The sequence below is a fragment of the Homo sapiens genome, chromosome 7, assembly GCF_000001405.40.
Source record: "Homo sapiens chromosome 7, GRCh38.p14 Primary Assembly".
Taxonomy (NCBI): Eukaryota; Metazoa; Chordata; class Mammalia; order Primates; family Hominidae; genus Homo; species Homo sapiens.
The window spans coordinates 23018963-23036544 of NC_000007.14; the positions used below are offsets into that span (position 1 = coordinate 23018963).

At 42.3% G+C, this 17582-nt stretch overlaps 1 long non-coding RNA gene across 3 annotated transcripts, besides 1 other annotated feature; it reads left to right on the forward strand.

Moving 5' to 3' along the window:
* Positions 1838 to 3037: an enhancer, noted in NCBI's record as "P300/CBP strongly-dependent group 1 enhancer chr7:23060419-23061618 (GRCh37/hg19 assembly coordinates)". NCBI's record gives its function as "activates an origin of replication core promoter dependent on BRD2, BRD4, P300/CBP, MED14 and CDK7 cofactors, with strong dependence on P300/CBP, by STARR-seq in HCT116 cells {active_cell/tissue: HCT116}" and the evidence as "EXISTENCE:reporter gene assay evidence [ECO:0000049][PMID:35650434]".
* On the forward strand, positions 2721 to 11380 carry LOC105375185 (uncharacterized). Of its 3 annotated transcripts, XR_927095.3 has the most exons (4): positions 2721 to 2907; positions 3103 to 3213; positions 8893 to 8988; positions 11267 to 11380. It is a non-coding gene; the product is annotated as an uncharacterized LOC105375185 (long non-coding RNA). The 3 variants fall into 3 exon arrangements; XR_007060252.1 differs by lacking the exons at positions 8893 to 8988; positions 11267 to 11380 and adding an exon at positions 4975 to 5129; XR_007060253.1 differs by lacking the exons at positions 2721 to 2907; positions 3103 to 3213 and adding an exon at positions 5070 to 5122.
* The last annotated feature ends 6202 nt before the right edge of the window (positions 11381 to 17582 follow it).

A 17582-nucleotide genomic window follows, 5' to 3' on the forward strand; every position in this document is an offset into this window, starting at 1 on the left:
AATGAGATAATCCATTTCCTGCAGCTGCACTGAATTGCTCCAGTTCCCAGTGTTTGCATTCAACATCTGTGAGTTCCAACTGCAGCTGTTCCCAGAGTCCCCGAAATTCCCATCTCCATCACCTATTCTAAGTAAATCATTGTGTCTTTCACCCCTGTGTAAACCAATACGTAGACTTCCAGAATCATGCATTCAGTGAAAGAAGCTGGACCAATTGCATTTTGTGAAGAGAATTTTGGTTTTTCTAGGAGTAACATCTCTCAAAAGAAGAAAACATTCTTCACATCTTAAACAACAAGACATAAATTAAAACTTTATAATGTTATATTTTAAGGGGAAAAACGTCTCCTTTCTCTTGTCTTTTAATAGCTGCACCAACCTGGTTCATATTTACGAGTAGGTCATATAGATAGGAGTGGAAAACATAATGACTAACTGCTACCCTCACATGACTGGAAATGAAAAATATCCACATTTATCTTCTAAGACATTTTATTAACCAATGTCTTCTAGAAGAATTCCTGTCAGGAGAGGATTATTATGCAGCTTTTATATATCATGTTTTTGAAAAATATTTGATGACATGGGAAAAAGACATTTCTTTCATCATGTTAGATGAAACAGATGGTTACAAACTGCACAGTATATGACATGGTCACTATCTGGCAAGTGTTCATGTCAGGAGGATATATCAGCAACATATAAGCATGGAGAAATCATAAGTGAATTTTATCTTCTTCTTCATACATGTTTTCAAATTACCAAATGTTCTACAATAAACAAGTGTTGGTTTTATTAAAAAAAAAAAAAAAACAAAAAAACAGAAGTGTGGCCGGGCGCGGTGGCTCACACCTGTAATTCCAGCACTTTGGGAGGCCGAGGCAGGCAGATCAAGAGGTCAGGAAATCAAGACCATCCTGGCCAACATGGTGAAACCCCATCTCTACAAAAGTACAAAAAGCTAGCCGGGCATGGTGGCGGGCACCTGTAGTCCCAGCTACTAGGAGGCTGAGGCAGGAGAATCGCTTGAACCCAGGAGGCAGAGGTTGCAGTGAGCCAAGATCGTGCCACTGCACTCCAGCCTGGCAACAGAGTGAGATACTGTCTTAAAAAAAAAAAAAAAAAGCAGAAGTGTACATTATTTCTTTAGATGAAGACACAGCAGACTGTGCCTTGCTTATTGTTAATTCTGCCTAAGTGAACCTCAGTTAAACATTCTTCCTTTCACTTTTAGCTAATGCATTATTCAAAATTCTTTAAAATGTTCTCATAAATTCCACAGAGAAGCTCTGGTTATTGCTGACAAGCAAAAGACCTTGCTAATGAGTATTTAGTATAGAAGCATGAACTTGTATACAGATTTTCTCTGACAAATGGTGGCCCAGCGAACAGAAAATAACATGGGGAAAATACATAGGTAAATATGATAAACTGACTCCCGCAGAAGAAGTTGAACTTTTTTTGTCATCTTTGGACCCCCTGCAATAGTATAGTGCTTGGCCAATGGAGGACCTTCAAAAAGACAGGTTAAAGGAGCACATGAAAAGATGGCCATTTTCCTCCTCCATCTTATATTGGTTGGGTTTGAATCTTTTTCAGGTTTACACACCTGTCCCCAAGCATACAGGCCAAGGATTGGAAAATGTGACTTCTCCCGTTTCTGACCACTGGCTGCATTCATTAGATGCAGTTTAACACTTCATTGTGTATCACCTTTTATCTTTCCAAAATCATTTCCCATGTGTTAACCCCTCACCCAGAGAGCAGAGGCAGCAATCAAGGCACACACTTCCTTGGTTCCTTTGCTAAGTGGTTCCCACAAAGGAATTCAACAAGCACAAGCACTGGATGAAGGGAGGGTGAGTTTGGGAACTCGGCCCAGCTGCAAGAGGAGGGATGAAATGCCAGAAAGAGGCATACCCCCAAAAAGTTTTGCCAGCTGACTCTCGCTGGTTTGTAACTCTGTGCTAAGGGAGTCCAATGTATGAGTAATACTTCCATTTTTTCAATTCTGTTCTCATTTACTTAGTCATCAGCACCACACCCTGATACTTATGCCAAAAAAAAAAAAATTCAGCAAGCGAGTACATCATCAAAGTTCAATAAGAACAAGTGTGGCTTCCATTTCCTCTACCACCATGTGGAAGTGACCCATCCCATTATCAAAACCCCTGTTATGCTGGCAGAGGCAAAGCACTTATTCTCTCATCTTCTCTGCTTACCTGAAGCAAGTCCTCAGCATAGACATGTCTAGGGCCAGCTACCCTGTCATTGAAAGGGCATCATCCAAAAAACCTCTACCCCTGTGGGTTGGACCATGATACTAACCTTTAAAGCACTCTTGAGGGTGTTTTTCAAAGTTGAGTTGCACCAGGATGAGAAGTCACATTAGTCATCAGCAACTTAGCTAAGATTAATTGGTTAGGTCCCTAAGAAAGTGTGGGGCTTTAGGGGAAAAAAATGGGGAGGGCAGTGGGAGGAAATGTAGATATCTGAGCCTGGAAGAGTATCCAGGGAGGACTCAATCTCTGGGGACCATGAACAGTAAGACACAACCAAGGCTGAGAAGAATCAAAGCAACTGTTGAAGGAAATAAGATGAATCTAAAGGGTCAAAGGGGGCAGACTATGTTGACCTGGATCAGTCCTACAAGCTCTGCAACTGGAACTTTTGTAAAAAAAACATTGAAGTATAATATACATATAGGAAAGTAGAGACAACAAAAATATGATTAGTTCAGTGGATTTTTACAGGCAAACACTGCAACCAGGTCAAGAAAAAGAATATTGATGCAATCCAGAAGCTCCCTTGGACCGCCTGCCAATCATCACCCTGTCTCTTATTCTCAAAGACAACATCTGTTTTGACTCATGATGGTTTAGTTCATCTATGCCTGCTAAATTTCATGTAAGTGGAATCATATGGGATATATGCTTGTGTGTCTGGTTTTTTTCTATCAAGTTTGTGTTTGTGAAGTCCATCTATATTTCTTATTGGAATTGTAGTGTGTTCATTTTCATTACTGTTAGGTATTCTACTATATGAATATGCCATGATTTGTTTGACAGTCCTACAGCTGATGGATATTTGGGTTCTTTTCAGTTGAGACTATTACGAAGAATGCCGTTTGGAGTATTCTTGTACGTGCCTCTTGGTGCACATCTACATACTCTTCTGTGGTATATATCCAGGAGGGGTATTGTTGGGAAGAAGGTAGGCATATGCTCTCCTTTATATAATACAGCCAAATGACTTTCCAAAGTAATTGTATCACTTACACACCCACCAGTGGAATATGAGAGTTCCAGTTGCTCCACATCCTTGCCAATATTTGTATTATCAGTCTTTTAAATTCTAGCTATTCTGGTGGGTGTGTAGTGCTATCTCATTGTGGCTTTAATTTGCATTTCCCTGATGACTCACACAGATTTTTTCGTGCTCTGCAATTTTAAAGCAACTCTGCATGTCTGTTTCATTGCAAATCGTTCCTCAGCTGTATTGAGATTTAAAATCAACAACCATTTATTAAGTCCCTACCGTGAGTCAGTCTACATACGTTAGATGCCTCCATGTGCCCGGCCTGAAGGTGGTGGTGAGAGAGTTTTTTTCTGGACTAAGTGGTTTCTGGTCAGTCCTGCTGGTTTCGCTCTAGGATATATTATCACTGACATTGTGGAGAGAGCACTTCCGGGAAGAGAATGTCCCAGCAGGGCTGGGGGCAGAGGGCAGGAATGGGGTTGAGTGTAGAGAATGAAAACCAGCTGGATTTTCAAGCTTTCTGGCTTAAGAATAGTTGATGACAGTTTCTACAACTACATAATTTAACCTATCAGCCATAAAATAGGATAATGTTTAATACTGCTACAGATAACACTAGTCCTCATAAACAAGGGAAAAGTGAACTATAACAGTTGTTTGATGATACTATGAAATAAAAATCTCCCAGAAAGATCTTTCTCTGAATAACTCATAGAAAAAACAGTTTCTCTGAAAATGTGGATGAACCTCTGGTAACATGATGATTGTTGAGGGACAAAGACAGGTTTACTTAACCTCAAATCCCATCTGTCAGAGTTTTGTCCAAAGACGCAACAGCGGCCAATGGGAAGCTCCTTCTGTTTTAGAAAAAGAGGCTCTGAATTGCCTTCCTGTGCATCCTAACCAAGAGGGGATGCTAGGTGGGTGTTCCCTTGCTGCCTGCATTACAGACTGACTGGAGTATATGAACATTCCATCACAGGGTCTATTTATCACACTGAGACATTGTAAATGTGGAGAGAGTAGCCAAGAGTGAGAAAATGGGGCAAGTACTTGGGAAGGGTAACACATTACACACTAAGTAGCCACCCTGAACAGTTAGATATCAGAACCCCTGCAGAAATCTCACTGGAAGGGAAACCCTAAAGGATAGTTAAGCCTCAACTGAGCAGAGGGCCAAGGACAGTCTGAAATGTGGGACCACATTCAATGAAGCCTCATTCAAAAGGAAAGAGAGTGGCTCCAGGCTAAGCCAGGGCTTAGAGATGGAAGGGGAAGAAGGAACCTTGGAAGAAGGTGTGGGTATGAGGTCACTTAAAAGAAAGGTCAATCAATTCCCAGTTTCCCCAAGGCTGGCCCTGAAGCATGGAAACCTTAAGTGCCCTACATTCCTCAGGTGGCCCAAGCCACCACTAACCCTAGTAGAACCTAATTTTGGCCACCTCCATCACCTATTGAGATTGCCACACGGAATACCTGTGGCATAGTTGGATGGATCAAGCTGACCTCTCCTGGTGAGCCAGTTCTTCAGATCCATCCAGCTCAGCCAATGAGATATAGCCAGGCTTTAATATAAGCCTGCTTTTATTCCTGTGCAATTTGCGCCTTGTGTTTGCAGAAACTGAGAATGTTTTCCTTATTCGGATGAATAGCCTAGTGTTGGCAGCCTATGTGTGCCTGCAGAGGAAATCTTCATCCCTCTTTTTCCTTGCCTAGGAGATACCAGAGATCTGAGCAAGTGGAATTTTGAGGCTGAAGTAAGATAATGAGAAGACCCAGAGAGATTATAAAAGATGCAGAGTGAGAGAATGGAAAGAGCCTTGAACCAGAAGTCAGGCTTGAGCTGAAAGCTCACATCGCTCTTGTAAGATGTGTGTTCTCAGTTTTCTTATCTGTAAAATGAAGGGACTGAACTCTGATCTGAAAGTAAAATGTTCTGTTCATTGAGCATAGGGGGCTTGTTCAAAGTTGTTACCCGTTGTTACCCAGTGTGACAAAGGAGGCCTGGTTATTCTTCGTTTCCTCCTGAGATCCTCACTTGCTCTGGTACCTGAGATTCTCTCCTCCTCACTCTGTTGCTCTGCATCTCCTGCATCATAGCTAAATGTCTATTATAGATATCCCAAATGTGACTAGAAATGTCTGTGAGGTCTGACTAGAAATGTCTATGAGGTTCAACTAGATATGTTGAAGATGTGAAAGGTTGGCAGAAAGGTGATGAGTTTGCAGTAGTGGAGAATAAAACCCTGAGATTTCAGAGCATGAAAGAGCTTAGAAGGGGAAGGAGAAATGACAAACTTTTAAAAGCAAAAATAGCTTGGATGAGCCCTTTCCTGAAGTGTGTACCATGAAGCCCTGACACTGTAAGCCCCTCCCATGGGGCTCGGTAGGTGCAGAGGTTATGGTCAAATAAGTTTGAGAAATAGTGCAAAATGTGCCTCCTTCTCGGAGTTCCCCAAAGCTTATTAAAGGCACTGAGAACTTCTGTAGCAAGAATCCTGTTTAATGGTTGAACTCCCATGTTTCTTCCTCAAAATTTTAGCCATGACAACTTTTAAAATAACATCTATTATCATTATCTTGTTGAAATTACAAAGAATACCCTTTGAGAAACACAGTATATCATGCTGGGAGCAGAAACTCGGGAAATAAAAAGGAGGGAAACATGATTCCTATCTTCTTCATCTCCTATGTCCTGGGCAATATGACTCTTGCCCTGGAATCCAAAATTAGACTGCTCTTCTTTTTCACCCCGATGAACATACTAGCAGAAAATGTTCTATAGAACATTCTGACAGAGCAGACTGGCAAATGTTAGGTGTTCCAAAAATATATGTTGAATGAATTAATGATCGAATGAAACAAAAGTTACCCTGAACCAGTTAGCACAATATCTGAAGCAGAGCCAAGTAGCAACAAATGCTGTTACTACTACACACCCTGTTCTTTGGTGTAGGGGAAACAGAAAAGCTCAAACTGTTATTTGTCCCCTTCCAAATGACTTAAAGATTTAGATCAGCTCTGTCCTCAGGTAATATATATTTTCTGAAAGAGAACCAAATACTTATGCCACAATAAAATGACCTTTACACAGAGAAGCCTTAAATGGAATTGTATCAGAATCGTAGACAAAAATGTTGTTTGCTTACAGTCATAAACAATGAATCTCGTGTTTCTATGAGAAAGAAATGGACTGGGTAAATATATATATATATTCCAGTTCTGTGATGTTAGGAGGAGGACCTAGTATGTTATTTGAGCATTTTTTTCCTTTTAATATCCTTACCATAGTTGCAGCTATTTACAGTAACAATATGATAACATAAAGGAGTTGGATTAACTTATTTACTCCTACTTATATTTATAAAACAGAATAGAGGCTCTAAAAAACTGGCAATAGTTAAGATTATGTGGATCAACTGACATAAAATGAATTTATCTTGTCTAAGAATTTCAAGTGTTTCCTAATTTAGTAATATTCTGAAGTATGTTTCCCACTGACAACTGCTCACTAATCACAGTGAATCTTTTGAAAGACAATTGTTTTTCCTGCCCACAGTAAATCAAGAAAACACTAAGAATAGGGCTGTGCTTTTATTAAGCACTTTCTGTGAGGTAAAGCACAGAAATAGATTCGTATTTAAGTGTGTATTATCTCATTAATGAAAGCTACAGTTGCCATCCTGGCTAACACGGTGAAACCCCGTCTCTACTAAAAATACAAAAAAATTAGCCGGGCGTGGTGGCGGGTGCCTGTAGTCCCAGCTACTCGGGAGGCTGAGGCAGGAGAATGGCGTGAACCCGGGAGGCGGAGCTTGCAGTGAGCCGAGATTGCGCCACTGCACTCCCGCCTGGGCCACAGAGCGAGACTCCGTCTCAAAAAAAAAAAAAAAAAAAAAAAGAAAGCTACAGTTGCCAGCTATTTGGATGAAAAAAAGCTGGCATTAAGTTAAAATATTTCTTATTTTCAAATACACGTTTTCATTTTATTGTCTTAGGAATTTACCTGACTTTAGGTAGTTAAGTGTGGCCAAAATAACAGAAGTTCTGATTTGATCTAGCTTAAACTAGGACATTTGCACAACCTCTCATACCAGAAGGTACAGAGGAAGATCAAGCCTCCGGCTTAGCTGATTCACTGGCTCAATGATGTAATCAAACACTTGGGCTCTATCCATCTCTCTGCTCTTCCATCTACGGTGCTGGCTTTTGACCGAAGCTAGTTCTCTCCTCATGGTGATAAGATGGCCAATTGCAAGGACTGGAGCAATATTGTTCACTATTCACCTACAACAGGAGAGAGGAAATCCTCCCACCAAGGAACATAAATCTTTGCCTTTAGTCTGACTGGGCCAACTTACTACACTTGCCTGTCCCTAGAACAGGGAGCTGCCACTGATGGTCCTAAACCCGTGATTCTCAAAACAGGGTCCTCAGAGCGGCAGTTTAAGCTGCTGGGAACCTGGAAACCTGTTAGAAATGAACATCTACAGAGTCAGAAATGCTGAGGGTGGGGTCCAGCAATCTGAGTTTTAACAAGTCCTCCATATATTGTATAGTCTGAGGACTACTGTTTTAGGCTAAACAGAATTTACTTCTAGAGATGGGGAAGGAGAGGATACATGGAGAAAATTGAGGTTCTGTTAGAAAGGAAGAAGGAGAAGTTATGTTTATTGAGCTCATAACAGTGTTCACATCCTGGATTTTTCAAGAATAGTATTAGTTTCAAATATTCTGTTTCATGTGGTTCACAAAACATGGCCATTAAGTTGACTATCTCGGCTGGGCACGGTGGCTCACACCTGTAATTCCAACATTCTGGGAGGCCAAGGTGGGCAGATCATCTAAGGTTGGGAGTTTGAGACCAGCCTGATCAACATGGAGAAACACTGTCTCTACTAAAAATACAAAATTAGCTAGGCAAGGTGGCTCATGCCTGTAATCCCAGCTACTCTGGAAGGCTGAGGCAGGAGAATCACTTGAATCTGGGAGGCAGAGGTTGCTGTGAGCCGAGATCACGCCAATGCACTCCAGCCTGTGCAACAAGAGCGAAACTTGGTCTCAAAAAACAAAAAGGAAGAAAGAAAAGAAAAAAAGATGACTATCTCAAAAACTCTTGAAATCCTCCTGTGAAGCACAATGTCTTAGAAAGATAATGAGAATATGCCAGGACACAAAATAGCTGAATTCCAATTCTAGTTATGTCAGTGGTTCATCCTATGTCTTTGAGAAATTCACTTAGACTCTCTGGACCTCAGCTTTTATTTCATAAGAGTGTTGGAACAGAGTGTTTAAATTTCTAAAAATGAAAACAATTATAGCCAGCATTTATCATGCACTTACTATGTGCCATGCTCTGTCAAATATTTTTTTCTCATCTTCTTTGTGATGGTATCTGCCAAAGATTTTATTTATCACTCTGTCATTTAATACTTAGAATAGTTCCTGTGAAGGATATAACTTGCCCAAACTCAGTGGGCTGCTGAGTGAAGAATCTGGGACTCAGGTCTGTCTGACTCCCAAGTCCATTTACTTAGTCATTACACTATACTGCAGCCCCCTCCCCAACCTCCATCAAACTCCAATTCTGTCATTCATTTGTTTTCATGTGGTTTCGTTCCTTATACCTTTTAGAAAAAAAGCAGTTTGGTGAAATTAAAGAATGTGAACTTTGAATTCAGCCTATAATTTGAATCTTGGCATCAATATTCCTCTGATTGATGACTTTGGGTAAGTTAGCTTCTCTGAAACTTTAATTTGTAATCCACAGAATAACATTTTTTACCTGGCATTAAAGGAGGATTAAAGGAGATAAAACATATAAAAATAATTTATATAGTGTGTGGACCACAATAGGTATTCAAAATATGTTCATTTCTTCCCCTGCCTATTGCCCTATGGAAAATGTTATTTGATGCACAAGAGGGAAATATTTTGGAACGTTTATTTGTTTCTCAAAATAGATATTTGCATTTATAAATGACCTTACTAAGTACCACTAGGAATGGAAAAATTCTGCCTGAATCTTCTTGGCTAAAACTTTTCTAGACCTAAGAATACAGACGGATGACCTTGTCCAGGACAAGAACACTCTAGTACCTTCCATCAGCCTCCCCATAGCCACCCTCTCCCAACCATCATTTCTTAGAGGCTTTTTCAAATGGGATGCACATGGTCCACATTTGAATCTGGAAGACTATTTTCAAATTTCAGAAGTGTCCATTTTTTTTTTTTTTTTTTTTTCAGACAGAGTCTAGCTCTGTCACCCAGACTGGAGTGCAGTGGTGGGATCTCGGCTCACTGCAAGCTCTGCCTTCCGGGTTCATGCCATTCTCCTGCCTCAGCTTCCCGAGTAGCTGGGATTACAGGCGCCCGCCACCATGCCCGGCTAATTGTTTGTATTTTTAGTAGAAACGGGGTTTCACTGTGTTAGCCAGGATGGTCTCGATCTCCTGACCTCGTGATCCGCCTGCCTTGGCCTCCCAGAGTGCTGGGATTACAGGCGTGAGCCACCGCGCCCGGCCAGAAGTGCCCATCTTAACCTGTGTTACTCTCAAAATGAAACAGTCTGTATGGGGTAAGGAGTCTGCTCTTCATTTTCACAGACCGTGCTCCCATGATGAAGGGGTACCAGCACCCACAGAGGGAGTTTCAGGAAAGCTATTTGATCCATAACAACAAAGGCCATGGTTCCCAAGGAAAGAATGCTCCCTTCAAAGCAGTTGCATCAAGGAGGAAAGAATTTTACCCTATGAACTCAGAAGAGTGTGTGTTCTAAATATTTCATGTTTCACATCCAGGGGTTTTGGTGGACTTTTTAGGACAATTTATTTTATGGTTCTATCATCATACCATTTCTAATGCTGAAAAGCAGGAAATTAGGAAACATCCATTTCAAATGCTTGAAAAGTAAGAAGTTCCAGCTGAGCACGGTGGCTCACACCTGTAATCCTAGGACTTTGGGAGTCTGAGGAGGGAGGATCATGAGCTCAGGAGTTCAATACCAGCCTGGCCAACATGGTGAAACCTCATCTCTACTAAAAATACAAAAAAAAATTAGCCAGGCTTGGTGGCGGGTGCCTGTAATCCCAGCTACTAGAGAGGCAGAGGCAGGAGAGTTGCTTGTACCCAGGAGGTGGAGGTTGCAGAGACCATGCCATTGCACTCCAGCCTGGGCAACAGAGTGAGACTCCATCTCAAAAAAAAAAAAAAAAAAAGAAAAGAAAGAAGCTCCTATTTTTTTATTTTAATGTTATAAAATTACTCTTATATTTCTATTACTCTTATGTCTTATATATTATATATAATATAAAAAATATATGGCTTTTTGTTTTCTTTGAGATGGAGTCTTGCTCTTGTCACCCAGGCTGGAGTGCAGTGGCATGATCTTAGCTCACTGCAACTGCCGTATCCCGGGTTCAAGCGATTCTCCTGCCTCAGCCTCCTGAGTGGCTGGGATTACAGGTGACTACCACCACACCTGGCTAATTTTTGTACTTTTAGTAGAAACGGGGTTTCGCCATGTTGGCCAGGCTGGTCTCAAACTCCTGAACTCAGGTGATCCACCCACTTCAGCCTCCCAAAGTGCTGGGATTACAGGTGTGAGCCACTGCGCCTGGCCCTAATATAGATTTTAATATTATAGTTGGTTGTGGGCTATTAAATTTTGTCATCTTGAAGAATAACACACTTTGGAGTAAATTTACAATAAATGGTTTCTGAAGTTATTTAATGCTTATTCTTTCTTGCAACATTATTCAACAGAGTGGACATTTATGGCCTTGTGTTTTCCAATACCATGACCAATACCCTCTTATAGTCACATTTTGGAGCAAGTATTTAACATCAGATAATTTACCCGAAGGATAACACTTTAAAATTTTCTTTATTGTAACTAACAGCCAGTAATAGATCATGAAGATGAATGTATGTCATTATTTCTCTGGTTAATATAGACATAATTATAAATGTTTGTTTTATGATCTCTGTTAATCTGACACAACACCAGGAAGGCTGATGGCCATTTATCTTGTGTCTTCATGAGCAAAGAAGAACATAAAATTGAGAAGATATCCCAAGATGCCATTATTTATAGACATTCTTAATAATTCAACTCTGTAATTATGCTACTTCCCTACAATTTTTGTATGTTTATTTTATGTCCTTCTATATGTGTATTTATATAATATATAATTATTCTATTGCTACTGTATTGATATATGTTTTTAATTACTAGCAACCAGAGCTGGGTTAATAACCAAGTATCTTGAGACTATGGGATGAAACGTAGGCACTAGGATTTTCTTAACACCCCCTAGGTGATTACGATGTGCAGCCAGGGTTGAGAATCACTCATCCAAAGGTTCTACCAACCACACTTGAACACATATATTTTTAACTTCACTGGGAATACCTGTTACTAGTAATACAGTATTATAGTACACATAAGGCCTTACTGTTTGCTGCCCACCTGCTCCCTCTCCCCATGATTCCTCTTTAACTTCTCCTTGAGCAGAATATCCAAGATAGTGGTTTGCTGGCGCAAGCACACGTGTGCGTGTGTATGTGTGTGTGTTTAGCAGCAAAGCTTTCTGTTCTTTTTCCAAATGAAGTTTCCTTCAGAATAACAAATGACACCGAACAAAGCCAACCCGACAGATCTGAAGTGGAGTGAAGAGGGCCTCAAGCCCCTCTGCTCTCCTATTCCTTCTCCATCATTATCGGAACCCCAGGCTTCCCAAAGCACCATTTTATTTTACTTTATTTTATTTTATTGAGACAGAGTCTCTCTCTGTTGCCCAGGCTGGAGTCAGTGGCATGATCTTGGCTCACTGCAACCCCTGCCTCCCGAATTCAAGTGATTCTCCTGCCTCAGTCTCCCAAGTAGCTAGGATTACAGGTGTGTACTACCACACCTGGCTTATTTTTTTATTTTTTTAGTTGAGATGGGGTTTTGCCATGTTGCCCAGGCTGGTCTCAAACTCCTGACCTCAAGTGATCCACCTGCCTCGGCCTCCCAGAATGCTGGGATTACAAGCATGAGCCACCACACCCCTCCCCAAAGTACCGTTTTAAATCTGTCTCTCAGACACTAGAGAACGTCATTGTCTCACTGACTGGCTGCCAAGAGAAGTCACATATCAAACGAGATGGAAAGGCCCCCAGAACAATCTGCTGAATTCATGCAACACTCAACTCCAGCCAGGAAGTCCTGGATCTACTTCCGCTCGCCCATGACCATGCTATGAAACACCAATAACTGTGGAAATTTAGAAGAAGGCTCTCCTCCAACTCCCAGAGTGGCTAATTCTAAGCAGAGCCTTTTCTACTTTTTTTTTTTTTTTTTAAGATGGAGTTTCCTTCTTGTTGACCAGGCTGGAGTACAATGGCGTGATCTCGCTCACTGCAACCTCCGCCTCCCGGGTTCAAGCGATTCTCCTGCCTCAGCCTCCCAAGTAGCTGGGATTATAGGCATGCGCCAGCACAACGGGCTAATTTTTTTGTTTGTTTTTTGAGACAGAGTCTCACTCTGTCGCCCAGGCTGGAGTGCAGTGGCGCAATCTCGGCTCACTGCAAGCTCTGCCTCCCGGGTTCACACCATTCTCCTGCATCAGCCTCCCAAGCAGCTGGGACTACAGGCGCCCACCACCACACACGGCTAATTTTTTTTTTTTTTTTTTTTTTGTATTTTTAGTAGAGATGGGGTTTCACCGTGTTAGCCAGGATGGTCTCGATCTCCTGACCTCGTGATCCGCCCGCCTCGGCCTCCCAAGTACTGGGATTACAGGCATGAGCCACCGCGCCCAGCCTTGTATTTTTTTTAGTAGAGACGAGGTTTCTCCATGTTGGTCAGGCTGGTCTAGAACTCCCTCCCGACCTCAGGCAATCCACCCGCCTCGGCCTCCCAAAGTGCTGGAATTACAGGCGTAAGCCACCGCGCCCGGCCTAAGCAGAGCCTTTTCTAATGGTTGAAAAATGAAGCAAACTTTACAGTGTGCTCCCACTCTCTTATCTGCTGTACCCCTGTCTCCAAATCAGGTCTCAACAAATATCTCAAGGGATCTGAAAAGGGATACCCAGTTATGAAAGGGCAACCTATGGCCTGAAAGGAATGTGTGGAGTGAAGGAGCATAGTTTTGACAACTTTGCTTTGGTGATTTTGGGAAGTGGTTGTGGGCAATTGGCATATGAATCTTGTTTTTTGTTGAAAACAAAACAAAAGAGGAAAAGGCTGGCTGATAGCTGGTTGTCTCTTTGGCCACCCCTGAGGCTCAACCACTGGTTTTTTTATGTACTGGGTCCCCATTCAGGGTCTGGAACTTTGATTCATCTTTGTGATCATCATACAAAAGAGAGCTTGGATGCAGGTGGCTAAAAGCTGCAGGATGCATAAATGCTTCTATGCCTTTTAACAACCCCATGGGTAATTTTTTTTTTTTTTTTTTTGAGACGGAGTCTCTCTCTGTCACCCGGGCTGGGGTGCAGTGGAGCGATCTCGGCTCACTGCAACCTCTGCCTTCTGGGTTCAAGCAATTCTCCTGCCTCAGCCTCCCAAGTAGCTGGGACTACAGTTGTGCGCCACTATGCCCAGCTAATTTTTGTATTTTTAGTAGAGAAGGGATTTCACCATGTTGGTTAGCCAGGATGGTCTCGATCTCTTGACCTCGTGATTCTCCCTCCTCGGCCTCCCAAAATGCTGGGATTACAGGCGTGAGCCACCGCACCTGGATGGGTAATTTTATTATTTTACAAGTCAGTAAACCGATGCTTAGAGAAGTTAACCAACTTGATCAAGGTCACACAGCGGTGGAGAAGAGATTCCACCCCATACTTTTTGGGCTCCAGAGAACATAAGCTTTCCACTACGTTAGCTTATCCTGAGAGAAAGGGGTTTTGGTTGGAGGGTGAGGTAGAGAATGACCAATTTTGGAGAAGGTGTGAATTTGGAGTCGGACCAGTCCTAAATAAGTGTTCTAGAAGGGAACTCTAGGAAGACAGGGAAACATGGACCCCAGCCACAGTGGATCTGGGAAAGAACTAAAGGGAGAGGGAGGGCATTAGAGACAAGCATTACCTGCTTCAAAAACTTGAGCACCATTAAATGGATTTTGACATCCAGGCATGACTTGGTGTTGTGTAGAAAATAAATAGATGCAGCTCTTATATTTTTAATCATGTGACATTTTAATCTCATAGATCTACATTCAAATTCTGGGCTCATTAAGTCTTTAATTTGTTTTTGAAGCAGTTGTAATTGAAACGAACTGGGGTCCACTAGCCTGGCACAGTAAGGCCAAAAATCTATACCAAGGTTTGTAGCCAGACAAAGGATGTTTATTTGCGGGGCACCAAGCAAGGAGAATCAGGCAACTCACACTTAAGACCCTGTCTCCCCAGTGGCTTGCAAGTAAGGGTTTTTGTTTGTTTGCTTGTTTGTTTTTGAGATGGAGTCTCACTCTGTCACCCAGGCTGGAATGCAGTGGCATGATTTCGGCTCACTGCAACCCCCACCTCCCCGGTTCAAGCGATTCTCCTGCGTCAGCCTCCTGAGTAGCTGGGAATACAGACGTGCACCACCACACCAGCTAATTTTTGTATTTTTAGTAGAGACAGGGTTTCACTGTGTTAGCCAGGATGATCTCGATCCCCTGACCTCGTGATCCGCCCGCCTTGGCCTCCCAAAGTGCTGGGATTATAGGCATGAGCCACCACGCCTAGCCACAGGTTAAGAGTTTTTAAAGGCAGGGGTAAATTTCAGGAAACCAGAAGTTATAGGCAACAATTATAAATTAATATATGAAGGTTATATATTGGTTTGACGTAAAAAGGATAGAACATCTTGATGTGGGGGCTTACAGGTCCTAAGGAGATTTTAAGATTTTCTGATTTGCAATTAGTTAAGGAAAAGAAGCTCTATTTAAAATTTTGGGTCAACACCATGATTGTATATTTAGAAAACCCCATAGTCTCAGCCCAAAATCTCCTTAAGCTGACAAGCAACTTCAGCAAAGTCTCAGGATACAAAAAAATCAATGTGCAAAAATCACAAGCATTCTTATACACCAATAATAGACAAACAGAGAGCCAAATCATTAGTGAACTCCCATTCATAACTGCTTCAAAGAGAATAAAATACCTAGGAATCCAACTTACAAGGGACGTGAAGGATCTCTTCAAGGAGAACTACAAACCACTGTTCAACGAAATAAAAGAGGATACAAACAAATAGAAGAACATTCCATGCTCATGGATAGGAAGAATCAATATTGTGAAAATGGCCATACTGTCCAAGGTAATTTAAAGATTCAATGCCATCCCCATAAAACTACCAATGACTTTCTTAACAGCATTGGAAAAAACTACTTTAAAGTTCATATAGAACCAAAAAAGAGCCTGCATTGCCAAGACAATCCTAAGCCAAAAGAACAAAGCTGGAGGCATCATGCTACCTGACTTCAAACTATACTACAAGGCTACAGTAACCAAAATAGCATGGTACTGGTACCAAAACAGAGATATAGACCAATGGAACAGAACAGAGCCCTCAGAAATAATACCACACATCTACAACCATCTGATCTTTGACAAACCTGACAACAACAAGAAATGGGGAAAGGATTCCCTATTTAATAAATGGTGCTGGGAAAACTGGCTAGCCATAGGTAGAAACCTAAAATTGGATCCCTTCCTTATACCTTATACAAAAATTAATTCAAGATGGATTAAAGACTTAAATGTTAGACCTGAAACCATAAAAACTCTAGAAGAAAACCTAGCTATTACCATTCAGGACATAGCCATGGGCAAGGACTTCATGTCTAAAACACCAAAAGCAATGGCAGCAAAAGCCAAAATTGACAAATGGGATCTAATTAAACTAAAGAGCTTCTGCACAGCAAAAGAAACTACCATCAGAGTGAACAGGCAACCTACAACATGGGAGAAAATTTTCGCAACCTACTCATCTGACAAAGGGCTAATATCCAGAATCTACAAAGAACTCAAACAAATTTACAAGAAAAAAACAAACAACTTCATCAAAAAGTGGGCCAAGGATATGAACAGACACTTCTCAAAAGAAGACATTTATGCAGCCAACAGACACATGAAAAAATGCTCATCATCACTGGCCATCAGAGAAATGCAAATCAAAACCACAATGAGATACCATCCCACACCAGTGAGAATGGTGATCATTAAAAAGTCAGGAAACAACAGGTGCTGGACAAGATGTGGAGAAATAGGAACACTTTTACACTGTTGGTGGGGCTGTAAACTAGTTCAACCATTGTGGAAGACAGCGTGGCGATTCCTCAAGGATCTAGAACTAGAAATACCGTTTGACCCAGCCATCCCATTACTGGGTATATAGCCAAAGGATTATAAATCATGCTGCTATAAAGACACATACACATGTATGTTTATTGCAGCACTATTCACAATAGCAAAGACTTGGAACCACCCCAAATGTCCATCAATGATAGACTGGTTTAAGAAAATGTGGCACGGAAATAGAGCCAAGATGGCTGAATAGGAACAGCTCCGGTCTACAGCTCCCAGCGTGAGCGACGCAGAAGACGGGTGATTTCTGCATTTCCATCTGAGGTACCGGGTTCATCTCACTAGGGAGTGCCAGACAGTGGGCGCAGGCCAGTGGGTGCGCGCACCGGGCGTGAGCCAAAGCAGGGCGAGGCATTGCCTCACCTGGGAAGCGCAAGGGGTCAGGGAGTTCCCTTTCCGAGTCAAAGAAAGGGGTGACGGACGCACCTGGAAAATCGGGTCACTCCCACCCGAATATTGCGCTTTTCAGACTGGCTTAAAAAACGGCGCACCACGAGACTATATCCCACACCTGGCTCGGAGGGTCCTACGCCCCCGGAATCTCGCTGATTGCTAGCACAGCAGTCTGAGATCAAACTGCAAGGCGGCAGCGAGGCTGGGGGAGGGGCGCCCGCCATTGCCCAGGCTTGCTTAGGTAAACAAAGCAGCCGGGAAGCTCGAACTGGGTGGAGCCCACCACAGCTCAAGGAGGCCTGCCTGCCTCTGTAGGCTCCACCTCTGGGGGCAGGGCACAGACAGACAAAAAGGCAGCAGTAACCTCTGCAGACTTAAATGTCCCTGTCTGACAGCTTTGAAGAGAGCAGTGGTTCTCCTAGCACGCAGCTGGAGATCTGAGAATGGGCAGACTGCCTCCTCAAGTGGGTCCCTGACCCCTGACCCCCGAGCAGCCTAACTGGGAGGCACCCCCCAGCAGGGGCACACTGACACCTCACACGGCAGGGTATTCCAACAGACCTGCAGGTGAGGGTCCTGTCTGTTAGAAG